The sequence below is a fragment of the Homo sapiens genome, chromosome 22 (genome assembly GCF_000001405.40).
Source record: "Homo sapiens chromosome 22, GRCh38.p14 Primary Assembly".
Lineage (NCBI taxonomy): Eukaryota > Metazoa > Chordata > Mammalia > Primates > Hominidae > Homo > Homo sapiens.
In genome coordinates this window covers 38,241,768-38,269,168 of record NC_000022.11, presented here as the reverse complement: position 1 = coordinate 38,269,168, position 27,401 = coordinate 38,241,768, and the positions used below count along the sequence as shown (strand labels likewise).

The window sequence follows — 27,401 nt, the reverse complement described above, 5'->3', positions numbered from 1 at the left end:
TGGTGACCCAGAGAGAGAATTGGGAGATGCAATTTAAATCTGTGCGCTTATTAGCCCTGTGGCCTTGGGCAAGATGCTTACCAGGTTCTAATTCCTGCTGTTTAAAAATAGGGGGCAAATGATTCACTTTCCTTCATCTGTAAGATGGGAGTAATAACAGTGTGGCTGTCACGTGGCTGGCCTGACCAATGTCTGATGGAGCTCAGCACGGTACCTGGCACACAGGACATGCTTTTATTATGACCTTACAGGCCCATTCATTTATTTGAGAAGGAGGCATCGCAGGCCTGTGTGCCAGGCTGTTTGCGGGGAGCCGCCCTCAGGAGCCGAGTGCAGCTGGGGAGAGAGAAATCAGACACACAAGCAATTATGATTGTCCTGGGGGCTCTTAGGGAACCTTAGGCCATTGTCGCCTGGGCGGGCACTTGTCTAGTGAGGTGATGTGTATTAAGGTGGAGGAAGAAGTGGGCTCCAGGTAGAAGGAAGAGCACATGCAAAGCAGAGGTCTGAGTTCATGTCTATGGAGTTGTTTGATACTAAGTCTCAGCACTTAGTAGACCTGAAATAAATGTTTGCTGAATGCCATCTCCTCAGCCTCAGAGAGGACAGAAACGGGAAGAGGTAGAGTGGGAGGCGGCCACAGAGAGAAGAATTGAAGGGTCACCCAAGTTGTAGATTTTCTCATCATTCCCTCCCCTTGGCCTCCGTCTCTGTGGAAAAGCAGGTACTAATGTGGTGCAGGTACTAACAGTGCGTCTGAGTCTGCCAGAATTCTTTCTTTTTTTTTTTTTTTTGAGACAGGGTCTCCCTCTGTTGCCCAGGCTGGAGTGCAGTGGCAGGATCTCGGCTCACTGCAACCTCCGCCTCCTGGGTGATTCTCGTGCCTCAGCCTCCCAAGTAGCGGGGATTACAGGCACCCACCATCATGCCTGGCTAATTTTTGTATTTTTAGTAGAGATGGGGTTTCACCATGTTAGCCAAGCTGGTCTCGAACTCCTGACCTTGTGATCTGCCCGCCTTGGCCTCCCAAAGTGTTGGGATTACAGGTGTGAGCCACTCTGCCCGGCCTCCGCCAGCATTCTTACCGGGCACTCATTCCCAAATTGCTTGTCCTCAGCACTGGAGAGGATAAATCTAAATGCAGAGGTGGCTGACAGCTGGAATTAGGCGGACACCCAGGTAGCATTTGTTCACGTGTCTATTTGCTGCTGTTTTAGGGTGGCTGAAGCCCTATGCTTGGGTATGGCATAGAAGGATGGTGCGTGGCTTCTGGTTGGTGACTTTTCTAGTCTTAGGTTAATCATGGCTCAGTGTCTGGCGAAATGTACACAGTAGGTAGTGAAGTGGTTTTTGAATAAACAAATGAATGGTTGGATGGGTTTGTGGCACTGCCACTCAGGATAAAGCTATAATTATTCTTGAAAAATGACGGATATGGCTAGGTGCGGTGGCTCACACCTGTAATCCCAGTACTTTGGGAGGCCGAGGTGGGCAGATCACTTGAGCTCAGGAATTGGAGACCAGCCTGGCCAACATGGTGAAACCCCGTCTCTACTAAAAATACAAAAATCAGCCAGGTGTGGTGGCATGTGCCTGTAAACCCAGCTACTTGGGAGGCTGAGGCAGGAGAATTGCCTGAACCTGGGAGGCGGAGGTTGCAGTGAGCTGAGACTACGCCATTGCACTCCAGCCTGGGTGACAGCGAAACTCCATCTCAAAAAAAAAAAAAAAAAGATATTAGGGGTGGTTGGAACAGGATTGGTTATTCCAGGAGCCGGTGGTGCTCACTAAACAGCCTTGAGTCTGGCTGGCTGGTGTGGGAGGTCTTAGGCCTGTGATGGGAGACAGGAAGCTTGGTGGACACCTCCTTTTCCTTCTCTGGGGTGGAAACCACAGGGGAAGATCCACCCAGAAAGCCTTTGTGCTGAACCTGCGTCACTTCCAGCTCAACCATGTTTTACAAAGTCACATCCCACTAAGTGAATATTTGGTGAAAAGTTTGCCACGTTGATCTCAGTCTTGTACCTTTGAAAAACAATAGGCTTCTCTGAGATTAGAAGTAGTACTTGTTTTTTTTTTTTTTTTGAGACAGAGTTTTGCTCTGTCGCCCAGGCAGACAGTGCAGTGGTGCGATTTCGGCTCACTGCAAGCTCCGCTTCCCGGGTTCAAGCCATTCTCCTGCCTCAGCCTCCCGAGTAGCTGGGAGTACAGGCACCTGCCACGGCGCCCGGCTAATTTTTTGTATTTTTAGTAGAGGCAGGATTTCACCGTGTTAGCCAGGATGGTCTCGATCTTCTGACCTCTTGATCCACCCGCCTCGGCCTCCCAAAGTGCTGGGATTACAGGCGTGAGCCACCGTACCCGGCCGTACTTGTTGATAGTAAACTTGAAGCACAGGAAAGATTGGGGATAAGAATAAAAATTACCCCAAATTTCCAAATCAAGAAGTAATCATGGTTCAGGTTTGGGCAGATGTTCTTTCTAGGCATGAACACACGTTATCTCATTGTTTACTTAACACCGGGTTATAAACATTTACCCATAGCATTTGAAAGGTAGCTATAGATAGAAAAGAATCAGAGAAGTTCTAAAACAGCTCTTGCGCTTTGTTTCAAATTCTCTGCAGGAAAGATGAGGTCTTCAGCCTTTTTTTTAGCTGGACGGCACCGTTGCAGCAGTGGTGAACAGGGCACTGGATTGAGTCAGGAAACCCAGCTGTGACCTTGGGCAAGCCACTTGCCCTCTTTGAGCTTCACTCCTGCTAAGGCAAGGGGCGCTATTCGTACCCTGTCTGCCCACCTCACAGGCTCTGGTGAAGTCCTTGATTTGAACGCCTTTAGCTCCCAAGGTTGTGGTTTGGAGATAGGGCAGGTCACATGACCATGAAGACTGAAGGAGAAACGTGGAAGCACGTGTGCCTGTTGCTTCTTTTCCAACTTAAAATGCTTGGTGATCTCCTGAAGACTCCAGCCTCCTCTCTGGGAAGCCAGGATCCACAGACCCTTTACCTGCGGGTCATGGGCAGTCCCAGATGGTCCCCCTCCCCAACAGAGGGGGTGCAGTGAGACCTCCGGAAGTTACTGCCTCTGTTACCCTCAAAGGGATTTTCAGATCAGACAGCCCCCCTACTCCAAGGGACGTGTGTGGAGCTTGGTACCTTTATTTATCTCCTGCTCCAACCCCTGTGGACTGCCTGCACCCAGAATGGGGCCTCTCCTGCTGGCAAGTGGCTGAGAACCTCCACTCCACTCAGCAGGGCTGTTCCCCATTTACCGAAAAGCTCCGAGAGAAAATAACTAACCCCATGGCGCCGCTGTAGCTACTGGCAGAGCCTCCTGGTCCCCACCTCTAGCGCCTGTGGTTTTTGTTTCATGCAGAGTGAGCAGTGAATCTGGGATCCCATCAGCAGTCAGTTTGGGTGCCTGCGAGGCACAATGATAGATGTTGGTGAAGGGTATGTGTGAGGATATTAATTAATATTAACATGCTAGTTATATTAATATTCTCATTGGAATTTGTGGGGCTTTGCAAGTTATATTTCAAATATATGGTTTTATGTAATCCTTTTAACTGCCCTGAAACCTTGAAATTATTGCACCTATTTTATAGATGGAGAGACTGAGGCTCAGAGGGGTGAATTGCCTAAGATCCTGGGGGAGGAAGCACCCAGGTTTTCTGGTTTTGAGTCCTGGGCCCTTCCTGCTGAGTAGCTACCCCCAACACAGACCTGCCCTTGGAGAGCTTGCAGCCACACTGGGAAGGCCAGTGTATTGGATTGCTGCTTAGACCTGGAAAGCACGTGAATAAAGCTTCAGGTTAAAACCATGGGGGTTCCAGGAGGCAGCAGTCGGCTCTGCCTGGGGGTGAGCTGAGGAGCCGGTGCTCTCTGGAACAAGGGTAGTTGGGCTGAGGCTCAGTGGACAGTGGAGGTTGGCAGGTGAAGTGCAGGAGGTCTTTGCAGGGAGTGGGACCACCTTGAGCACACACAGAGGAATGAGACAGGCAGGTTACTCAAGGAGCAGAGGTCTCGTGACCACTTCCCAGAGCATGTGGGGTCCTAGCCTCATCTCCAGGAGGAGAAAGTGCATCTATACACAGATTTGTCAATGGAGTTTAAATAGGATGTGGGAAAATCTAGATTTTCCAAAACAGTACATATTTGCTTTGAGAAGAAAGGTAGATGCAGGATGCATAGGTTAGATAATTTTAATAGCAGTAACCTCAGAGCATGTAAGTATGATTTGATTTACTGGAGTGCCTGGCCGTCTCAGTCAGTGGGAGCACGGCTTGGGCTGGGAGATGAGGTTGACAAGGGTTCTTTCTCTCAAATGCTTCCTTTGGTTTGCTAAGAGGTATCTCCTACTCGGCCGGGGGCAGAAGACTTTTCCTTCTTTTCCCAGTTTGCAGTAGTTGGGCCAGATTTGTGGAAGTGGGAGAAAGGCCTGCCCTGCTTCTACATAGAGTTGGCTGTCCTGACTTGATACTCGGTGTGCCTTCCAGAGACCCGCCTCCATCTCCTCAACTCCCTGGCTTGATGCTTAGGTGGTGATGGCTGTTGGGCACAGGAGTTACATAACAGATCTGTGATGGACCCAGGAGCAGAGCCAGCTGAGTGAATGTCATGGAGTGGGAGTGGTCTTGCATGGCTGTGGTGTCCCCTGCAGCTTGTGCAGGGTATGTGGCAAGAGGTGCTCACCACTCATCTGGAATGGCTAGACTGGAAGCACTTGGCCCTCTTGGGCTCTGCACCCCCACCCCCTCCCACCTGGCCTGCCTGCTCATCTTCATGGGCGCCTGGGGAGACCAATTATGGCTGCTTGTCATAGTGGCTCAGGTCACCGTTCACACTTCCTGGGACCAGGACATCAGAGCCCTGAGAAGGGTCAAGGGGCCAAGTGGGCCTAGCCTTTTACTGACAGCTGGGAAATGCAAGCGTGTGGACCAGAGCACCAAGTGAGTTGGGGCCGGTGTGGGTTCAGCACCGTGTCCCTACCCAGAGCTCCATTTGTTGAAAACAGCCTTTCTCTACCGTTTCTTCACTTGGACAACTTTAAACTATGTATTGGCTGGTCGCGGTGGCTCACGCCTGTAATCCCAGCACTTTGGGAGGCCGAGGTGGGCAGGTAACTTGAGGTCAGGAGGTCGAGACCAGCCTGGCCAACATGGTGAAACCTCATCTCTACTAAAAATACAAAAATTAGCCCAGCGTGGTGACACGCACCTGTAATCCCAGCTACTCGGGAGGCTGAGGCAGAAGAATCGCTTGAACTTGGGAGGCAAAGATTGCAGTGAGCTGAGATTGCATCACCGCACTTCAGCCTGGGAGACAGAGCGAGACTGCATCTCAAAAAACAAACAGAAACCTACATATTTTCTATATTTCCCCCAACATTGAGGCTCATTTCTTGGATGAACAATTTAAATGTACTGTGCCTCTCTGGCAATATTTTCCAAAATTACAGATGTTTCTATACTTTCACCGGCAGCTCTGCCTCCCAGAATTTATTCTACGGATGGGTTAACACGTGTGCAAAATGATTTATTTGCAAGGTTCGTCATTGTTGCCTTATTTTTAATAGCAAAAGATTGGAGGCAGCTTAAATGTTCATTCGCAGGGGCCAATGAACAAACCATGGCCCGTCTAAACATGGGATACCGCGTGGCCATAATACATAAGATGGACGCTCAACGCACTGTGCCGGATTGAGCAGCAAGGTGGATTGCCGAGGGAAGAAGCAGGTCTGGGCGGTGTGTCTCGGAGCTGCCATCAGTGTAAAAGGGAAGAGAATCAAAAGTGTCTTTGCTTGTCTATGCCCAGGGGGTCTCTGGGCAGACACCGCAAGTCGGTGATTGTGATGCCTCTGGAGGGGGTGCTGGTCATGGGAGATTGCTTGTTTGCTGGAGATCCCATGTACCTTTTGATTGCTGAAGCAGGTGAATGTACGCCTTTCCAAGAAATTAAAATGGGCCAGGTGCGGTGGCTCACGCCTGTAATCCCAGCAGTTTGGGAGGCTGATGTTGGAGGATCACTTGAGGTGAGGGGTTCGAGACCAGCCTGGCCAACATGATGAAACCCCATCTCCACTAAAAATACACAAATTAGCCAGACATGGTGGTACATGCCTGTAATCCCAGCTGCTCTAGAGGCTGAGGCAGGAGAATCATGTGAACCCTAGAGGCTGAGTTTACAGTGAGCCAAGATCATGCCATTGTACTCCAGCCTGAGCTACAGAGCGAGACTCTGTCTCAAATAATAAAATAAAATAAATTAAAAACATAAGGACTGTAACCTTGCCTCCTGCCCAGTGTAGGAAGGTCAAGGTTCTGGCTACTTCTCAAGTACAGGAGCCTCACTCAGGCCCCAGACCACTAATCAAAAAATATGTGCTTGGTTCTCACAAAGGGGCCGAGTGTGAGGGCTTGGGTGTTGCTTGGTAAATACGACCCCCGGTCCCGGCCTTGGAGAGATGGAGCCCTCTCTGGGCCCCTTGGACACACTGCTGTTGGCTGACTTTGTCATTTTCAACCCTTGCTCCGATTGGCTCACGTCATGATTTCTGAAACCTTTGGGGGCTTCCCCACTGACAGAAAGATACACTTTAACTCAGCACTGGGCATCCCAGGCCCTCTTTACTGGGCCTCTTCTTGAGCCGCACTTGGCCTGTCACCCCTTCCTCTGTCTGCCCTCTTAACTCCCCACCTCCGTGCCTTTGCTCATATAGTTCCCTTTGCCTGCCTTTCCGTCCAGAGCAGTCTCCACGTGCCCAGGTCCTGTCTGACTTTCAAGGGCCAGCTTAGTTTCCACTTCTGCACTGCCTTCTGACCTCCCTGGCTTCTGTGTAAACTGCCCAGATCAAGCCACACAATGGTTCCTGCACCCAAGGAAGCTCCCTGGGGCCCCCTCCTGGCCACTCGCTCTTCGCCGGTAGTCACCACTCACACCTTGGCACTTTCGCGTGGTGCCTGCCGCTGCCTGTTTGGGCCTCCCACACACAGAGTGTACAGAACGGACTCCTCGGTGTCTGGCTGCCTTCCCGCAGCACTGTCAGATCATCCAGGTTGCCTGTAGTGGCCCTTTGGTTTTTTTCTCTGCTGCGTAGGAGTTCACCAAATATACCACTATTTATTCATTCTCCTGTGGACAGGCATTGGGTTATGTCCAGCCTCTTCGGTGAATTCATTCTTGTCTTTGGGGGCGCGTGTGCGCTCTTTGCTGGGTATACACCCAGGGTGGGTTGATGGCTTACCTGACTCAGAATGTGTTTGCATGAATGAAATTCAGGTTGGTATGAGAAATCTAGGGTGTCCTGGCTGGAGCCAGGCTTCTTGATTACAGGGACAGAGCAGGTACAGGGATCCTGGTTTAGACAGCCTGCTCCCATGGGGTGGTAGCATTGTTGGGGTGCAGGATGCTGAATCTGCAGGGGACCTATCCGCTCAGTGCCCAGTGGGATTTTAGCTGGCTGGAAAGGTGGTCACATGTAGAGGGGCTCAACAATCCAGCTAAAGAGGCTGAGCGTTGGTCCATTGTTCTCAATTTGAGAGAAAACTGAGATCATCAAAATTAGGACTGGTATGTACTAAAGGAAAGAACCTAATTACAAGGCTGAATTGAGTAAGCCCTCGCTGAGGGACTTTGGATTTCTTTGTTGTTCCCCTTTATTTCTGCACCCCCACCCAAGTGACAGATATGTACATGATTGGATGATTTTGCTTTCCTGGTTGAGAGATTCCTGGGAACTTGGCCCAGGAGAAGGGGGAGAAATGTGGAGCCGCTAGAGTGGCCTCCGCTTGTTTGTGTTGATTGAAGGGGAGACGGAAGGAGAGCTGTGGACCCCTGACCCCTTGTGAGGGCATGTGATCCTTTTCAAAAGGCTCACCAGGCAGAAGTGCCTGGCCAGGGGCCGCTCTTTCCCTCTAATCCCCTCTGGAGAAGGGCCAGGCTGTGGGTTGCTGACCTGCTCTGATGTGGATCAGCCTCCCCCAATAATGCAGCTGCCCAGAAGCTCAGAGAGCCCAGGCAACCCCCAAAGGCAGGAGGGCCGGCTGTCATTCCCGTTGTCATTCCCAGGCGGCTGGAGTGGGAGCAGAGCGGTCAGTTCAGATGAACAGTGCTCGAGTCTGACCCCAACCAGCGAGTTATGGTAAGATGGAAGGTTCTCCATCTATATTAAATAAGAGAACAAAAGCCCTCCCAGGCTGCATGAATATTCCAGGGATATATATGTGAACGGGTTGCCAGTTTAGCTTGGCCTGTGGGTGGCAGCCGCCTGAGTGAGCACTTCGTGGCTGCAGCTCTAAAGGGTTTGGATCTGAAACTAATGAATGAAAATATGACCTCAGAAGATTTAAAGAGAGCAAATACCCAGCAACAGAACCTGGGTCCCAGAGACTGTTGGGAGCATGAAATCCCAGGCTGGCCGAAGGAGGAAGTGGGAGAGCAATGGCAGCTGACATCACATGGTGCCAGACCTTCTCAGTGCTTTCTGTGTTCACTCATTATTCCGTCCCTCTCTCTCAGAGGCAGGTATGGCTGCTTCCCCATTTTATAGATGAGGAAGCTAAGGCAAGGAGAGGTTGTGTAACTTGCTCACAGACACAAAGCTAGCCAGTGGCAAAGCTGGAGGTCAGGTCTAGGTGGTCAGGCTCCAGAGTTCTGCGGATTTCACAGCACGGCAGTGGCAGTCGGAAGAACCATTTGTCAGGTGATTGTGGGCAAATGACGTCAGCCCTTCAAACCTCTGTTTTGCATCTGCAAGCTGCTTGCTGCTGCAACAAATTACCAGAAACTTAGTGACTTAAAACACAAATTAGGTCGGGTGCGGTGGCTCACATCTGTAATCCCAGCACTTTGGGAGGCTGAGGTGAGTGGATCACTTGAGGTCAGGAGTTCGAGACCAGCCTGGCCAACATGATGAAACCCTGTCTCTAACAAAAATATAAAAAATTAGCCAGGCATTTGGCCGGGTGTGGTGGATCACGCCTGTAATCCCAGAACTTTGGGAGGACAAGGTGGGCGGAACACAAGGTCAGGAGTTCAAGACCAGCCTGACCAATATGGTGAAAGCCTGTCTCTACTAAGAATACAAAATTAGCAGGACGTGGTGGCACGCGCCTGTAGTCCCAGTTACTGGGAGGCGGAGGTTGCAGTGAGCCAAGATCACGCCACTGCACTCCAGCCTGGGTGACAGAGTGAGACTCCGTCTCACAAAAAAAAAAAAAAAAAAAAGCCAGGCGTGGTGGCACGTGCCTGTAACCCCAGCTACTCTGGAGGCTGAGGTGGGAGAATTGCTTGAACCCAGGAGGCAGAGGTTGCAGTGAGCCGAGATCGCACCACTGCACTCCAGCCTGGGCCACAGAGTGAGACTCCTTCTCAAAAACAAAACAAACACAAATTATAGATTACTTACAATAAGAAAAACCAATAAAATGCATGCGCACACATTAATTATCTCACAGTTTTGGAGGTCAGGTCCAGAATGTGTTTCACTGGACTAAAATCGAGGTGTTGGCAGGGCCATACTCCTTCTGGAGGCTCTGGGGGAGAATTATTTCCCTGCCTCTTCCAGCTCCTAGAGACCACCTCCATCTGTGGCTTGTGGCGCCTTTCGCCATCTGCAAGGGCAGCAGCGTAGCAGCTTCCACTTTCCTCTCTCTGCTTCCTTTGTCACGCTGCCCTCTTCTCGCTCTCTACCTCCTGCCTTCCTCCTACGAGGACCCTTGTGATGACATGGGCCCACCCAGGTTATCCAGGATAATCTCTCATTTCAGGACCCTTAATTCAGTCACTTCTGCAAAGTCCCTTTTGCCATGTAAGGTAGCATGTTCACAGGCTCTGGGGGTTAGGATGTCAACATCTTTGGGGGATTATTCTTCAGCCTACCACACAGCACATAATAAAATCCATGGGCAGAGGGGATAGCAGCAGTAAGGTGTCCCTCAAACATGAGTTAAAATGACTCTGACGATAGAATCTGGGTGAGATGGTGGGATGCTCCCGAAATAAACTCCAAGGCAGGTGGCCAAGTTCAGTGACGACATAGCTGCGTAGCTTATCTGAGAAAGGATGTCTCTGATGGGGGGCCAGCCGGAAGACGTCTTTCCTGGAAGAGGAGGGAGGTGGGGCAGTCTTGGGAGAAGTGAGACTTTGGGTCCCACGGCCAGCTCCTGCCACATTCTCAGTGGATTTCAGGTTGGGAGGAGGGATACCATTACAGTTGAAAATAAACATAGAAATAAACGACACTGGATGTCTGCTTCCTCATCAGCCTCCCTACAGTTCTGGAAGACGGTCCAGGCCCACATCCCCTTCTCTGCTGTTCTAGAATTCAGAACGCTCAGAAATCCCAAAGGTTCTTCTAAGTCTGCAGCAGACTAATTTCTGCTGCAAAAATCTGACCTGAATTGATGTGATACTAATTATGGCCTTTAAAACTATCTTCCTTAGGGTGACTAACAGTATGTTTTCCTATGAAAGTACTATATGTTTGCTTTTGGGGTGTTGCACCCACCCTTCCAGGAGTGTCACTGTGTCTAGCAGCATAATCCTTTCTAAAATCTGAAAAATTCGGCTGGGCACGGTGGCTCATGCCTATAATCCCAGAGCTTTGGGAGGCTGAGGTTGGTGGATCACTTGAGGTCAGGAGTTCGAGACCAGCCTGGCCAATATGGTGAAACTCTGTCTCTACTAAAAATACAAAAATTAGCCGGGCATGTGGCTTATGCCTGTAATCCCAGCTACTAGGAAGGCTGAGGCAGGAGAATCGCTTGAACCTGGGAGGCGGAGGTTGCAGTGAGCCGAGATTGTTCCTCTGTACTCCAGTCTGGGTGACAGAGTGAGACTTAGTCTAAAAAAAAAAAAAAAAAAATTTGGAAAAATTCTAAATTCTTAAACCCATTTAGTCCAAAAGCCTTAGCTACAGGACAGTGCACCTGGACTTTTCTCCCTAAGAAACACAGTCAGAGAGGTCCAGTCACCTGCCTCAGGCCCAGCTTAGGTGATAATGCTGAGGTTCCAACTCAGTTCCCTGTCTCAGAGCCTGGGACAAAGTGCAGACTGCGTGGCCTGGCCTCTTTGCCACCTGCTGGGTGGCGTGTGAATGAGAGACAGGTGTGGAGACTGCACTCACTGGCAGGTAGGCTGTATGTGGGGGAGGTGGGGGTCCTTGAATTTGTTTTCTGTCTGATCTGCAGCCTGGAACTGAGCCAGGGGGCCTTGTCTGGGGAAGGACAGAGAGGCAGAGAGATTGCAGAGGAGAGGGGAATAGCAGCAGCCATTAGGAAGCCTTGGGCCTTTGCCTATCACTATAGCACTGCTCTCCAAACTTCCTTGGATCACACAGCCCTATCAGTAAAAAAGAAACCAGAACAAAACCTCTTGAACATGCACCCCCAATATGTGGATATTGGTGTAATTATAAGTGTATGTTACAATAAGTATACACGTATATTACTTTACTGTTTCAGTGTGTACGTAATAAAACCTACACCAAAAACAGAAACCAAAGGCCAAGCTAAAGATGTAATAAAGAAAATTTTTACTTTGTTGACGGTACAGAAACCTCCTGGGTTCATACACGGGGTCATTTTTTGGAACGTGCGCTTTCGTGATCAGTGAGAGAGAGTTTGGAAGGTCTGGCTGGCTTCACGTTCGGCTTGTTTAGAGACTGGGTTTTAATGGCTGCTTTCCCTGCAAAAGATCCTGTCTGGGACAGGAAGCTGCACACGGAGCAGACGCATCCTTGGCTTTCTTTCTAAATCGGGTTACTCATTTTTCCATCCCGTCCACTGAGTATGCAAAGGATTTGTTGAAATTTGGCCGGTACATTTCCATCCTCCCTGATGCCAATCACGTTTTTGTAAACGAAATGGAAGGTATTTTATTTTAAAATTCTTAACAAGCGAGTCCAAAACCCACTAAAATGCTTTGGAAAATTTTTAATGGACTAGAAAATTCTGTTACGTAGCTTTTTAGGAGTTCAGCTATGAGAGGATTTTTTTTTTCTTTTTAAAGTCAGTGACAGACATATTGTTTTGGTGCATGCCAGTAATACCAGCTACTTGGGAGGCTGAGGCAGGAGAATCACTTGAATTCTGGAGGTGGAGGTTGCCGTGAGTCGAGATCGCGCCATTGCACTCCAGCCTGGGCAACAAGAGCGAAACTCTATCTCAAAAAAAAAAAAAAAAAAAAACTATTAATGTCCACTTCCAGGCTTTGATACTGTACTACAGCTAGACTAGACGTCACCCGTTGAGGAAGCTGGGTGAAGGGCATACAGGACCCTAGATTCTATTTTTGCAATTTCCTGTGAACCTACGATTATTTCAAAATAGAAAGTTTAAAAAGTCTTTATCAAGTACAGATGCACACCGAAGTATTTAACATTACATCTGGGGGACAGGGAAAGATGCAACAAGATTGCGCAGTGTTGCTAACCGTTAAAGCTCAGTGATGGAGAGGTGGAAAAATTCATTACACTATTTGTTCCAGTTTTGTATGTTTGAAATGTTCCATAATAAAAAGCTTTAGACAGCAGAACAACAGATTTTTCTATGAAATGTGTAGTAAGATGGGGAGGGACTCAGTTTGTATCAGAGATTTATTGGTTATCTTGTGGAAAAGCAATCAATAAGGATTGTTGGCCGGGCATGGTGGCTCACGCCTGTAATCCCAGCACTTTGGGAGGCCGAGGTGGGAGGATCACGAGGTCAGGAGTTTGATACCACCCTGTCCAAGAGACCAGCCTGGCCAATAAGGTGAAAACCTGTCTCTACTAAAAATACAAAAATTAGGCAGGCATGGTGGTGGGTGCCTGTAATCCCAGCTACTTGGGAGGCTGAGGCAGGAGAATTGCTTGAACCCGGGAGGCAGAGGTTACAGTGAGTTGAAGATCACACCACTGCACTCCGGCCTGGGTGACAGAGTGAGACTCCAAATCCAAAAAAAAAAAAAGGTCCCCTGGGCTAATTTTTGTATTTTTAGTAGAGACGGGGTTTCTTCATGTTGGTCAAGCTGTTCTCAAACTCCCGACCTCAGATGATCCACCCGCCTTGGACTCCCAAAGTGCTGGGATTACAGGCGTGAGCCACCATGCCCAGCCCAACAGTACTATTAACTGAAGTACAGACCTTATTCAGTTTTCTGCATTTTCATGTAGGGTGTATGTGTAGTTCTCTTCAATTTTATCACATGTAGATTCATGTAACCACTACCACTATCAAGATACAAACTGTTTCATCACCTGGAAGGAACTCCCCTGGTACCCTTTAAAATTACACACCCCCACCCATCATCGTCACTGTCCTCTGCCAACTACTACACCATGCTCCATCTTTATAGCTTTGTCATTTTGAGCATGTTACATAAATGGATCATGCAGTATGTGACCTTTTGAGATTGGCTGGTTTCACAAAATGTAACACCCCTGAGATCCATCCAGATCACTTGTGTGTATCAGTAATTTGTTCTTTTTTCTTGCTGGGTACTATTCCATGGTCTGGATATACCAGAGTTTAACTTTTTGCCTGTTGAAGTACATGGGTTCTTCCCAGATTTTGATGATTACAGATACGGCTGCCGTGAACATTTGTGTACAGGCTTTTGTGTGAATATACGTTTTCATTCCTGTAGAATAAATGTCCACAGTGATTACTGGGTTGTGTAGTAAATGCATGTTAGTTTTATAAGAAACTGCCGGGGCCAGGCATGGTGGCTCACGCCTGTAATCCCAGCACTCTGGGAGGCTGAGGTGGGTGGATCACAAGGTCAGGAGTTCAAGACCAGCCTGGCCAATATGGTGAAACCCCGTCACTACTAAAAATACAAAAAAAATTAGCCGGCCATGAGGCCGGGTGCGGTGGCTCACGCCTGTAATCCCAGCACTCTGGGAGGCTGAGGCGGGCGGATCACAAGGTCAGGAGTTCAAGATCAGCCTGACCAACATGATGAAACCCCGTCTCTACTAAAAATACAAAAATTAGCTGGGCATGGTGACACGCGCCTATAATCCCACCTACTCAGGAGGCTGAGGCAGGAGAATAGCTTGAACCAGGGAGGTGGAGGTTGCAGTGAGCCAGGATCGTGCTACTGCCCCTCCAGCCTGGGGCGACAGAGTGAGACTCCGTCTCAAAAAAATAAATAAATAAAAAAAATTAGCTGGCCATGGTGGCGGGCACCTGTAATCCCAGCTACTCAGGAGACAGAGGCAGAGAATTGCTTGAACCCGGGAGGTAGAGGTTGCAGTGAGCCAAGATGGTGCCAGTGCACTCCAGCCTGGGCGACAGACCAAGGCTCTGTCTCAAAAAAAAAAAAAAAAAAGAAAGTGCCAAAGTTGTTTTCCATGGTGGCTGCACCATTTTATCTTCCCACCAGCAATGTGTGGGAGATCAGGTTTCTCTGCATCCTTGCCAGCATTTGATATTGTCAGTATTTTTTATTTTATAGGTATATGATATATATTTTTTGGTACCCAGGTATGGGATGTGAAGGTGTTTTCAGTTTTTCAGTTTGCATTTCCTTAATGGCTAATGATGTTTAACTTTTGTTGTGTTTGCCTGTTTGTTTGTTTTGGAGACAGAGTCTTGCTCTGTCGCCCAGGCTGGAGTGCGGTGGTGTGATCTCAGCTCACTGCAAGCTCCACCTCCCGGGTTCAAGCGATTGTTCTGCCTCAGCCTCCCGAGTAGCTGGGATTACAGACATGTACCACCATACCCGGCTAATTTTTGTATTTTTAGTAGAGACAGGGTTTCGCCATGTTGGCCAGACTGGTCTTGAATTCCTGGCTTCAAGTGATCCACCTGCCTCAGCCCCTCAAAGTTTTGGGATTACAGGCATGAGCCACTGCGCCATGTACTTATTTGCTGTGTATCTCTTCTTTACTGAGATATCTGTTCATGTATTTTGCCTATTTTCAAGTGGGATTGTTTGGTTTTCTTTTTACCATGGTGCTTTTTTTTTTTTTTTTTGGAGACAAGAGTCTTGCTCTGTCCCCTAAGGGCGGGAGTGCAATGGCACGATCTTGGCTCACTGCAACCTCTGCCTTCCTGGTTCAAGCAATTCTGCTGCCTCAGCCTCCTGAGTAGCTGGGATTACAGGCGCCAGCCACCACACCTGGCTAATTTTTTTATTTTTAGTAGAGACAGGGTTTCACCATGTTGGCCAGGCTGATCTCGAACTCCTGACCTCAGGTGATCCGCCCACCTTGGCCTCCCAAAGTGCTGGGATTACAGGTGTGAACCACCGCGCCTGGCCCATGGAGCTTTTTGAGCATTCTTCATACATTCCCAATGCTAGTCATTTACCAGATCTGTGACTTGCAAATATATTCTTCCACTCTGTGGCTTGTTTATTCATAGTGCATAAGTTTTTACTTTTCTTATATTGCAGTTTATCGATTTTTTCCTTTTATGGATCATGCTTTTGGTGTCAAGTCTAAGAACACTTGGCCATCTCTAGGTTTCAAATATTTTCTCCTGTCTTCTAAAAGGTTTAGAGTTTTACATTTTACATTTAAATGTGTGATTTATTTTGAATTAATTTTTGTATATGTGTAAGGGTTTATGTTAAGGTTTTTTATTATTTATTTATTTATTTATTTTTGAGATGGAGTCTTGCTCTGTTGCCCAGGCTGGAGTGCAGTGGTGTGATCTTAGCTCACTGCAACCACCACCTCCCAGGTTCAAGTGATTCTCCCGCCTCAGCCTCCCAAGTAGCTGGGGATTACAGGCACATGCCACTACGTCTGGCTAATTTTTGTATTTTTAGTAGAGACAGGGTTTCGCTATGTTGCCCTGGCTGGTCTCGAACTCCTAGCCTCAAGTGATCCACCCACCTTGGCCTCCCAAAGTGCTGAGATTACAGGTCTTCGCCACCGCACCCAACCAATGTTGTTTTATTATTATTATTTTTTAATCAGTGTTGATCAGGTTAGCCTCGAATGTGTAGCCTCACCTCCCCGAGTGCCAGGGCAACCGGCCTGAGCCACCGCGGCTCCCATTATTATTTTTATTTATTTATTTACTAGTTTTTGAGACTGCGTCTGGCTCTGTCACCCAGGCTGGAGTGCAGTGGCGCGATCTCGGCTCACTGCAAGCTCTGCCTCCCGGGTTCACGCCATTCTCCTGCCTCAGCCTCCCCAGTAGCTGGGACTACAGGCGCCTGCCACCAGGCCCGGCTAATTTTTTGTATTTTTAGTAGAGATGGGGTTTCACCATGTTAGCCAGGTTGGTCTCGATCTCCTGACCTCGTGATCCACCCAGCTCGGCCTCCCAAAGTGCTAGGATTACAGGCGTGAGGCACCTTGCTGGGCCCTTTCTCCATTTATTAATGGGACTTCTATAACCTAGAACTGTCCCTTGTTAATTATGTAATTCCCCTGAAATGTTATAATGAAGAAACTGAGGCTCCGAGAGAAGTACCCGCGCAGGTTGCACGTGGTGGAGTCTAGTGGGAGTCCTGTAGGGTGACTCACAGCAGAAGCCTGGTTATGTCCCCACCACATGGAAGCCTTCTCTGACCCCCTCCCCAGCCTGCCCAAGCCCGATGCTTGCTCTAGGCTCCTGTAGTGCTGGACACTCACCTCAGCAGTGCAAGGGGAAGAGGCCTCCAGGTCACTCCTGCCTGTGGCATAGAGAAGGCATGAAGAATGGCTTGGAGCACCTTAAAGGCTGAGGCTGGGTCTGCCGGTGCCTGGCATGGAGTCCAGAGGCCTCAGGACTTGTTAGAAAGATGATTTCAGCATCTTCCATCAGGGCCCTCTGTCATGTTCCTGGCAGAAGTTTAACACTTGGTCAATTAGGGAAATAATGGGAGACAGTTGTGGTGGCTCTCGCCTGTAATCCCAGCACTTTGGGAGGCCAAGATGGGAGGATCGCTTGAGCCCAGGAGCTCGAGACCAGCGTGAGTAACATGGTAAAACCCCATCTCTCCAAAAAAATACAAAAATTAGCTGGGCATGGTGGCTCATGCCTGTAGTCCCAGCTACTTGGGAGGCTGAGGTGGGAGGATGGCTTGACCCCAGGAGGCAGAAGTTGTAATGAGCTAAGGTCATGCTACTGCACTCCAGTCTGGGCAACAGAGTGAAGCTCTGTCTCAAAAAAAAAAAAAAATTTGTTGGACATGGTGGCACATGCCTGTGGTCCCAGCTGCTTGGGAGACTGAGGTGGGAGGATCACTCGGGCCTAGGGAGGTCAAGGCTGCAGTGAGCTGTGATCATGTCATTGCACTGCAGCCTGAGCAACAGAGCAAGACTCTTGTCTCAAAAAAAAAAAAAAACAGCATCATCTGGATCTGGTCCTGCCAGAGCAGCTGGAATTCTGAGCCTCATCTGTTTGCATGGACTGCATTGGAAAAGGGGAGACATGGATGGAGCCCTTCCCCACCCCTTTCCCCACGGGAGTAAAGAGGCTGCACCAGATGGCATTGCCCCTGCTTCCCCAAGGTCCACAGGCTGTGCCAGGTGAACGTCCTGCTTGCCTGTGGGACCTGGGCAGGCAGCTTCCCGGTCAGTGCCTGTACAGAGTGTGAAAGGGTCAGAATCCAGTGCCCACCCTGCCCCAGCCCCAACACACTGTGAACAGTTTGCAGAGTCTGGCCTTGTGGTCACTGACTTGGGAGTACGTTTGACAGCCTCCGTCTGCTGCCTTGGGTCCAGGGAGCAAGGCGAGCTCTGGGCCTTCAAGCAGCTGCCTGCACCTGCTTTCTTGGGTATTGGGGACCATGCGTCTATGAGCCAGAATACGGCTTTAAGTATTTTGGGGAATTATGAAAACCCTTGAATTGTTGCCACCCTGGGTGGCTGTAAAACCAAGTTCTGCATCGTTTTCCTCATCTCTAAGATGGAGATAATGTTACTTTCTTCAAAGTTGCCTTGAGAAAATACATGAGATAATGTTTGGGGAAATGCTTTGTAAACCACCGGGGTTGCCCAAGAGTAAAATAAGTTGTTTATGAATTGGCCTCGGTGCAGAAACGTGGCCAGCATGGGTTGGGCTGCGGAAACACTCCCAGCCATGGTGGCTTCTCCTCCACCCTGGGGGACCTGCCTCCCCTCCTGCTAGAAGAGTCTGGAGGCTATGGGAGGAAGGGTATGGCCATGTCTTGTTAGGAGGCTCTGGAGCAGGAGGGGTGGCTCAGCTAGGTCCCCCCACTTTGTAGGAGGTGAGGAGACAACGTGTTGATAGGACCTGGCCTTGAGTCCTGGCTCTGATTTGGGGGTAAGTCACTCACATCTCTGGGTGCATTTCCTCTTGTGAAATAAACGACCTATATGAAGAACGTGAAGGGGCCCTGAATGCCAAGTGGGCATGGGCACGTGAGTGGGCAGAGCCGCAGGAGGAAGCTGGCCTGTAGCCTTCACCCACATCCCAGCCCTGGCTCGGGTCTGCTCTCTGGGGTTGCCCCTCTGCCTGGGAGTCCAAGCTGGGGGTTTCTCAACACCGCCCTTAGTCATGAACAAAACAGCCTTCGACATCCCCCCACACCTTGCTTGGAAGGTGAAGATTTGAGCGTATTTGTACTTCCTTTGGTCCCCCCACAATTCCCCATGTTTATTCATTTAATTTGGGATGATAGACAAAGATGATGATTTACAACCCCAGTCTTTTTCAAGAAATATTTCTGGCACTGGTTTTCAGTTTTGCAACCATACTTACAGGAGCTATTCTTGGACTTGTCACTGTGTCTCTTTTTCAAAGCTTGCCACCAGTCTTTATATAGACACCTTCTCCATTTTTGAATTTCTTTATATAGACGCCTTCTCCAGTTTTGAGTTTTAGTCTCGATTTGTGTCTCAATTGGTGTGTTAAGAGATCATGTATATGTGGGAAAATAGAAATGTACAGGGCTCTCCTAGGGTGCACACTTACAGCTAAGAGCCGACATGGTGGCGGAGATGCTGCGGCCGTTGGCGAGGAGCCGGGGTGCAGGCGGGCAGTGCAGACAGACAGCGGGCGCAGGATCCTCTGCATCGCGGGGCCAGGCTGCAGGCCGCCGCACCCAGGAAGGCCCAGGGAAACCTCCGTTGGTGTCAGGATATTCTGACTTGAATACCAGCTTGCGAATTTGGAAGGGACCATGAGATCATCTAGGTTGACCTCTGGGTTCAGACCGAGACGGTCGGGGTTGGTGTTCGCTCATTCTCTGAGCTCATTTTTGGAGCAGGGAACCCACGTGGCTGGTTGGCGGGGGAGCTGGTGCTCACGCTCCAGCCAGGCTCTTTCCTCAGTGCCTACATACTGCACTTTGCATCTTTTAAAATTGTCGGGTGTTTCTCTGGTTGCATTGCAGGTTATTGCCAGAGTTGGTGATTTGGGCAGAGGTGTTTGCTGGATGGCACTGACCAGCCTGTCAGCAGGTGGCTGTACTGAAAGGGCCGCCCCATCAGGGCTTGGGTAGAGGGTGCAGCCAGGCTCCTGCCTTAGTCTTCTTGAGCCACTATGACAAAATCCCATAAATCGACTGCCTCCTTCCTCACAGTTCTGGAGGCTGGGAAGTCCAAGATCAAGGTGCTGGCAGATTCAGTGTGTGGAGAAGGCTCACTTTTTGGCTCAGAGACGGTGCCTTCTCCCTGTGTCCTCATGTGGTAGAAGGGGCATGGCAGCTCTCTGGGGTTCCTTTTATGAGGGCACTAATCTCATTCATGAGGGCCCCACCCACTATTCTTTGTTTCACTGTGAGGCACCTCACGATCTTTGGAAACAAGCAGTGAAAATCAGTAGATAGGCCAGGCACAGTGACTCACGCCTATAATCCCAGCATTTTGGGAGGATGAGACAGGAGAATTGCTTGAGGCCAGGAGTTCAAGACCAACCTGGGCAGCATAGGGAGACCCCCATCTCTACAAAAAATTAGAAAATTAGCCAGGCTTGATGACGCACGCCTGTAATCCCAGCTACTCAGGAGGCTAAGGCAGGAGGATTCTTGAGCCCGGGAGGCGGAAGCCGCAGGGAGCCGAGATTGCACCATTGCACTCTAGCCTGGGCAACAGAGCGAGACCCTGTGTCAAAATAATAATAATCAAGTTAAGTATTGTAAGTGGGCTGGGGGTGTGAGATCTTGCCTCAAAGAGTAGGCAGGAGGATGAACATGTGAGTGGTGACAGACCCGCGTGTTCGAGGATGCGGAATGGCTAGAAGTCTCAGAACTGGAGAAGGTGTGCAGGCAGGCTTTCAGGAGGGGTGGCACATGGGCTGGGTTAAAAGATGAGAGTTTAGAGGTACACAGATTGGGGAGGAGCCACAGAGTCTCCAAAACAGCACAGCTGGATGATGGGGAGTGGGTCAGCCATTAAGGAAAGGGGGAGAAATGGCGAAGAACGCACACAGGCCCTCGGAGGAGGCCTCAGCAGTAAAGTGGTTTTACTGGCTCCAGGGTATAAAGATGTTCAGGCCCACCAGGAAGCTCCCGAATTTCTGTTGTGTGTCCACGGTTCCCAGTGCTGCCTGTATAGTCCCAAACAGAGCCGCTGTCCCCAGGGGGCCTGCATTCTAGGTGGGGTGGGGGGAACAGTTAATAAATACATGAGTGAATCGAGTTAGTCGGGTGGTGTCGATGTAATGAGTGCTCTGGAGGAAAAGAAAGGAAAGCAGGGAGTCAGGCATGCCCAGCCTGGGAGAGGCTGACATGTTTTCATGGTGGTCAAGGTAGAGACCTAAAGGAAGGGTGGGAGGGAGGTATTTGACTGAGCAGAGACAGCCAGTGCAAAGGCCCTGTGGCAGAAGCAGGCTTAATATGTTCAAGGAACAGCAAAGAGGCCAGCGTGGCTGCAGCTGAGGATGGAAGTGGGAACTGTAGGAGCTGAGATCATAGAGGACAGGAGGTCCCATCGAGTCCTTGGGTACGGACTATGGTTTTTACTCTAGGGGAGCTGGGAGCTATTGGAGAGTTTTGAGCAGTGGCGGCCTGGTCTGGCTAATCCTTGGAAGACTCACAAACATGCTGAGTGGGGACTGGTCATTAGAGGCAGGGGCAGAAGCAGAGAAACTGGTCAGGGGCCTGTTGCATCAATCCAGGGGAGAGGCTGGCTGGGACAGGGTGATGGTTGGGGTCAATACAGACATGGTCAGGAGGTGGGTGGAGAGACCTGGAAGATTCTTTCCAATGCTGCCACTTGCCCTGGGAGGAGACTCACATTGCAATTTCTTCTCTCTAGGCTAGCTTGTCACTTTCTGCAAAGGTTTCCCTCAGGGAGCCTCCTGCTGCCAGGCACCATGACAGTGAGGGGGGATGTGCTGGCCCCGGATCCAGCGTCGCCCACGACCGCAGCAGCCTCGCCCAGCGTCTCCGTGATCCCCGAGGGCAGCCCCACTGCCATGGAGCAGCCTGTGTTCCTGATGACAACTGCCGCTCAGGCCATCTCTGGCTTCTTCGTGTGGACGGCCCTGCTCATCACATGCCACCAGGTACCCAAGCCTGGCAAGGGGCCTCTAGAAAGGTCCAGAAAGGTTCCTGGCTGAACAGAGTGTGGGTTAGGCTAGGCTAGGCCAGGCTGCACTGCAGTAGTAGGTAAGCCCTCTGTTCTCAGAGGCTTCCCTCGATAGAAGTCTACTTCTTGTTTGTTTGTTTGTTTTTTGAGACAGAGTCTCACTCTGTCACCCAGGCTGGAGTACAGTGGTGCGATCTTGGCTCACTGCAACCTCTGTCTCGTGGGTTGGAACAATTCTCCTGCCTCAGCCTCCTGAGTAGCTGTGACTACAGGCGTGCGCCAAGAAGTCGCTTTCTTGCCTGCGTCCCAGGGCCCAGTGCAGCGCAGGTTCCGACGTGTGGCTCTGGCTTCAAGCCTCGCCCATCTGACACCTAGCAGCAGGGAATGTGCGAAGGCACTCTGTATATTTAACCACCTCCAGCCAGAGGTGACACTCGTCACTCTGTTCACCTTCCATTGGCTGGAACTAGTCTCGTGTCCAGCCTAAACAACAGAGAGCCTAGAACTGCAGGAGCACAGGGACAGGGACCGCTTTGCAGATGAGAAAATGGAGAGCCTGAGAGGGAGGGGGAGAGGAACTAGCCTGGTCACTTGGAAGTTGGTGGTAGAGTGGGATAGAAGTCAAGTCTCCCGTCTGCCTGTACTTGTGGCCCCAGAGGAGGCTGATGTGGGCTGGGACGGGCCTTGGTGGCTGCAGAGGTTTGAAGGTGGTCCAGTGGAGAGGGGCAGGGTGAGTCTGCTCGTGTTCCCTAGTCAGCCCCTTGCCAGCTGCCCTGTGTCCCCATCCCTTTTAGAACCCATTTGCGTCCAAGGCTTTTGGCTCATAGCAGATGGAGAATATTTTGTTCTTTTCCTCCCCAGCCCAGGGCTCGGCTGGGCCAAGTGTGATGTCATGAGAGCTGGGACGAGACACCCAGGGGCTGCCTGGACTGAGGACTGTGGTAGAGCAGCTCTTGGCATTTGTGTGTAGCTTTTACTTTTTTCCTCTGCTTCCTAAAAGTAGCATTCATTCTCCTAACTTCCTGGTGAGGTAGCTGCCTAACTAAACAGAGCAGCAGTGGTGCTGCCTCTGTTTACCAGATGGGAGGAGGAGGCACAACCTGAGGACATCCCTGCAGCCACTCGGCCAGGAAGTGTGTCCACCCGCCATAGCGTGAGGGCTGCGTCTGTCTTGCCATAAGTTAAGGGACGGGGCAAGGCTGCAACCCAGGTGGCAGTGATTTAGCTCAGTGCTGCCACAGTCACAGCCGGAGTGAGGTAGAGGGAAAGGGCACACACTGATGGCCCAGAGCTGCCAGTGCGTGAGGTCCCCTGGGGAGCTTGTGGAAACTGCATTTCCATCCTCATCCTTGGCCTTCCTGTGGGCAGGGGTGTGGGCTCACTGCCACCTGCACCTGCAAGACTGCCCCACAGGCACTGCTGCATGCACTCCACGAGCCTTGTGCACGCCCGCTGGTCTGAGTCTCACAATGGCCTTGGGAGGCAAGTCCTGTCATCCCGCATTTTGCAGAGCAGGGCTCTGAGGCTCAGGGGTAGGTCACGTGCATCGGGTCACAGATGAGTCGGTGGCAGAGCTGGAAGCCCACCTGCCCTCCCGTCCCTGTGGACAGGAGGGTCCCCAGCTGACCCCACACCTCTGCCCCCAGATCTACATGCACCTGCGCTGCTACAGCTGCCCCAACGAGCAGCGCTACATCGTGCGCATCCTCTTCATCGTGCCCATCTACGCCTTTGACTCCTGGCTCAGCCTCCTCTTCTTCACCAACGACCAGTACTACGTGTACTTCGGCACCGTCCGCGACTGCTATGAGGGTGAGGATGGGGACGGAGTGGGGAGGGCTGGCGGGGGGCTGGGGGGCTGGGAGCCCCTGTCCCCACATTCCTCCCCGAGGGGCTTCATGAGGACTGTCTTGACACACCCCTTGCTGCTTTACCTACTACAGGGTTTCTGTCCCAAATTGACAGGTAACAGCACATGCAGCTAGAGTCTCACCTCACAGGTACCTGGAAGCAAGGGCCCTCCACCTGGGTCTCGCTTCTCAATGCTGGCGTCTCAGGCAGGTACCTGGAAGCAAGGACCCTCCACCTGGGTCTCGCTTCTCAATGCTGGCGTCTCAGGCAGGTACCTGGAAGCAAGGGCCCTCCACCTGGGTCTCGCTTCTCAATGCTGGCGTCTCAGGCAGGTACCTGGAAGCAAGGGCCCTCCCCCTGGGTCTCGCTTCTTAGTGCTGGCGTCTCAGACAGGTACCTGGAAGCAAGGGCCCTCCCCCTGGGTCTCGCTTCTTAGTGCTGGCGTCTCAGGCAGGTACCTGGAAGCAAGGGCCCTCCCCCTGGGTCTCGCTTCTCAATGCTGGCGTCTCAGGCAGGTACCTGGAAGCAAGGGCCCTCCACCTGGGTCTCGCTTCTCAATGCTGGCGTCTCAGGCAGGTACCTGGAAGCAAGGGCCCTCCCCCTGGGTCTCGCTTCTCAATGCTGGCGTCTCAGGCAGGGTGGGGGCAGCAAGCAAGTGGTCTGTTTGTAGAGACCCCAGGTGGCCCCAGGTGCAGTTGGGTAGGGACCCTTCCAGGGATCCCTGGCAAGTCAGTGGCAGGGCTGGGGCTCTGTCCCCATGGGTCTTAATTCTGAGGGCTTTGTCCCACGAGTGGGTGCCCTACTGTGCCACCCAGGAAGAAGACTCGATTCCTTCCGGGGACTTGGTTCTGGATGTGGAGTGGAGACATCACCTGCTCCCATCCTGAGCTCCGACCACAGGCCAGGAGCTGGGTTGCCAAGAGGAGAAGCCAGCCTCACCCCTGCTGCCCTGCGGGAGGCTGTGGCCCCTAAACAGTCACCACAAGGAGACCAGGATGCTGCTCTCATGGGAGCTGGCCTCTGACCTGTCTTGGGCAGGTCCCAGGCATTCCTCATCTGTTAGAGGCCAGCAATGCCCAGGTCTGCCCTAGACAGGCCAGCAGGAATGGAGAGGAGGGGTTCCTCAAGACCCCTGCATTGGGCTGGGTGCAGTGGCTCACGCCTGAAATCCCATTACTTTGGGAGGCCGAGGCGGGCAGATCACCTGAAGTCGGGAGTTCGAGACCAGCCTGACCAACATGGAGAAACCCCGTCTCTACTAAAAATACAAAATTATCCGGGCATAATGGTGCATGCCTGTAATTCCAGCTACTCAGGAGGCTGAGGCAGGAGAATCACTTGAACCTGGGAGGCAGAGGTTGTGGTGAGCTGAGGTCGTGCCATTGCACTCCAGCCTGGGCAACAAGAGCGAAACTCTGTCTCAAAAAAAAAAAAAGACCCCTACATTGATACCCATGCTATTCTCAGAGTGTGAGGTTTCCTGTCTCCTACCCACACCTGTGCTGCTGGTTTTAGGTAAAGTGACCGGATGTGGTTTTCCTAATCTCAGGCAGAGCAGCTCTGGCCATGCCCAGAAGTTGTCTGTTTCCTTGACCTGGGAGGGTGCTGCCCCAGGCCTGCACTCTGTGGATATTGGAGTGAAGCATGCTCATCCCCCAAGCAGCTGGAGTCTCTCTTCCTCTCCACGTTGAAACTTGTGTATCCCTGAGAACTCATAGGGCACAGGAAATGCCTTTAGGTTTGGCAAGAAAATGGAGGCGCCCAACAGGAGCCCATTGCACCCCAGCCTTTCATATTTCTGCCTTCCCACCCCCAACTGCGGCCACATCAGGCAGGTGCTTCCCAGCCTCAAGGGCTTGATACGTGCTGTGTCCCCGGCCTGGGAAGCTCTTCTGCTCTGCGTGGGGTCCCTCCTTTCCATCCGTCTGTTCCCCGCCACTCTCACTCCCAGCACCCATCCAGGTCCTCGGCCCCACCACAGTCTGCAGCTCCCTTGCTTCGTGTTCCATCTTCCTGAGCATGATTAGCCCTGCCAGAGCAGGATGGGGTGCAGCCATGCCCAGACAGAGCCGGGCCCATGGGAGATGCCTACTTCCTCCCTTTTGGATGAATAAGGGACTTAATCAAACCCCTGCCCTGTGCCTTGCATTCCTCCATGTGGGGCCTCAGTAACATCCCATGCTCCCTCCTCGCAGGCTGGCGTTCCATCCTGTCCTTCCAGATGAGAATACTGAGGCCAGATGGGGACCTGCTCAGGGCTTAACTGGGGCTCTGGTGTCTGATATTTCTGGAAGCAGCCAAGTCTCCAGGGAAACCTCTGGGTCCCTGGGGCACCATAAAGGCTGGAATTGGCGAAGTGTGGGGCTGAGAATCCACTTCCATTCAGCTGCCAGCCTCGCATGGGTACCCAGGGGCAGCCTCTGCCCACCTGTTCCTTCAGAAGCACAAAGCTGTTCCCTGCCAAGGTGGCCTCTCCTGTGTGGTCGGGGGACAAGTGTGGGCTCTCTTCTCGGCGGGACCCCAAAGACAGGCGCATGGCAGAAGGCGGGGCACACAGCCAGGGGAGCCTCCGCTTCACTCTCACTCCGTGCCCCAGAGGCGGCAGCAGATGGCTGGCGGGCACCCCTCACTCCAGAAGCCTCTTTGTTCAGGCCCCGCCTGCCCTGACCTGCCTCCCTGCCCGGGGAGAGGTCCTCCAGGAAGTCGGCCACCCTGTGAAGCACATCTCCTAGCAACGCGATTATCCCTTTGGCCTGGCCTCTCCCAGGGAGTTTACAAACAGTACAGCAGCTGCAGTGAAGTTCAGGCTGCCCCCGAGTTCACCAGCTTTTTTTTTTTTTTTTTTTTGAGACCGTTGCCAGGCTGGAGTGCAGTGGGGCAATCTCAGCTCACTGCATTCTCCACCTCCTAGGTTCAAGTGATTCCCCTGCCTCAGCCTCCCGAGTAGCTGGGACTACAGGCGTGTGCTACCACGCCCAGCTAATTTTTGTATTTTTAGTAGAGACGGGGTTTCACCATGTTGGCCAGGATGGTCTTGATCTCTTGACCTTGTGATCTGCCCGCCTTGGCCTCCCAAAGTGGTGGGATTACAGATGTGAGCCACCGTGCCTGGCCAAGTTCACCAGCTTTTAGCATCAGAGGCAGCGGGGCCTGCTCCTTGCCTTGTCCCTGCACCACTGCTCTGGGTCCTAGCCCCTCTCTTGCAGCTGCCTCTGCAGAGTCAGTGATGGGGCAGTCCCCCCCGATCCTTGTATTTCCCCTCTCACCCTTCCTTCTCAGTGCCCAAGAGGGGCCAGGAGGGCCCAGGAGGGAGTGGGATTCACCTGGGCTGGAGAACTCTGCAGATCCAGCCAGCCCTTCCTGAGGACCTGCTCAGAGCTGAGCACTACGGTCATTTGCTTTTTTTCTTTTTTTTTTAGAGACGGAGTCTCGCTCTGTCGCCCAGGCTGGAGTGCAATGGTGCAATCTTGGCTCACTGCAACCTCCTCCTCCTGGGTTCAAGCAATTCTCCTGCCTCAGCCTCTCGAGTAGCTGGGACTACAGGCACACGCCTTCACGCCCGGCTAATTTTTTTTTTTTTTTTGTATTTTAGTAGAGACGGGGTTTCACCGTGTTGCCTAGGCTGGTCTTGAACTCCTGAGCTCAGGCAATCCGCCCGCCTTGGCCTCCCAAAGTGCTGGGATTACAGGCGTGAGCCACCAAGCCTGGCCCTGCTTTTTTTCTTTGTTAACAAAATTCTGCTTTTAAAAAACACTAAAAAAAATTACATTTATTAAAGTAATATAGGCATATGGTTGAAACACGAAACTCCCCTAACTCCTCACTCTGAAGTTCACTGTACTTTCAACTCTTTCAGCTGTTTTCTTCCTAGAATGACCTAAAATATGCTTGTACTGGTTTTTGTTGTTGTTTGTTTTTCAGTTTTATATGATGTTACATGGTGACTTCCTACTATGGAAGGGCTTTGTTTAAGAGACAGGTCTCGTTCTTTTTTTTTTTTTTTTTTTTTTTTGAGACGGAGTCTCGCTCTGTCACCCAGGCCGGAGTGCAGTGACGCCACCTCGGCTCACTGCAAACTCTGTCTCCTGGGTTCACGCCATTCTCCTGCCTCAGCCTCCTGAGTAGCTG

General features: G+C 51.3%; 1 protein-coding gene across 18 annotated transcripts in view, besides 5 other annotated features; it reads left to right on the top strand.

Moving 5' to 3' along the window:
• TMEM184B (transmembrane protein 184B) overlaps nucleotides 1-27,401 on the top strand; it is a 56,616-nt gene that overhangs the window by 3,842 nt on the left and 25,373 nt on the right. For 10 of the 18 annotated variants that reach the window (XM_047441319.1, XM_047441316.1, NM_012264.5 and 7 more), the window contains exons 2-3: nucleotides 21,150-21,399; nucleotides 23,069-23,234. In XM_047441319.1, coding sequence (XP_047297275.1) covers nucleotides 21,208-21,399; nucleotides 23,069-23,234 — 358 coding nt within the window. In that variant the 5' untranslated portion in view covers nucleotides 21,150-21,207. Of the gene's footprint in view, nucleotides 1-11,070; nucleotides 11,136-21,149; nucleotides 21,400-22,283; nucleotides 22,385-23,068; nucleotides 23,235-27,401 lie in introns of those variants that run through there. The other 8 variants (XM_011530115.4, XM_017028757.2, XM_017028759.2 and 5 more) reach the window with 6 other exon arrangements.
• Nucleotides 4,783-5,283: an enhancer, noted in NCBI's record as "H3K4me1 hESC enhancer chr22:38659892-38660392 (GRCh37/hg19 assembly coordinates)". NCBI's record gives its function as "activates a minimal SCP1, AML or CMV promoter by ChIP-STARR-seq in primed H9 embryonic stem cells {active_cell/tissue: H9 hESC(primed)}" and the evidence as "EXISTENCE:reporter gene assay evidence [ECO:0000049][PMID:30033119]".
• Nucleotides 6,756-6,845: an enhancer, noted in NCBI's record as "active region_19002". NCBI's record gives its function as "activates an Ori minimal core promoter by ATAC-STARR-seq in GM12878 lymphoblastoid cells {active_cell/tissue: GM12878}" and the evidence as "EXISTENCE:reporter gene assay evidence [ECO:0000049][PMID:35858748]".
• Nucleotides 8,230-8,399: an enhancer, noted in NCBI's record as "active region_19001". NCBI's record gives its function as "activates an Ori minimal core promoter by ATAC-STARR-seq in GM12878 lymphoblastoid cells {active_cell/tissue: GM12878}" and the evidence as "EXISTENCE:reporter gene assay evidence [ECO:0000049][PMID:35858748]".
• Nucleotides 8,630-8,979: an enhancer, noted in NCBI's record as "active region_19000". NCBI's record gives its function as "activates an Ori minimal core promoter by ATAC-STARR-seq in GM12878 lymphoblastoid cells {active_cell/tissue: GM12878}" and the evidence as "EXISTENCE:reporter gene assay evidence [ECO:0000049][PMID:35858748]".
• Nucleotides 24,765-24,874: a silencer, noted in NCBI's record as "silent region_13713". NCBI's record gives its function as "represses an Ori minimal core promoter by ATAC-STARR-seq in GM12878 lymphoblastoid cells {active_cell/tissue: GM12878}" and the evidence as "EXISTENCE:reporter gene assay evidence [ECO:0000049][PMID:35858748]".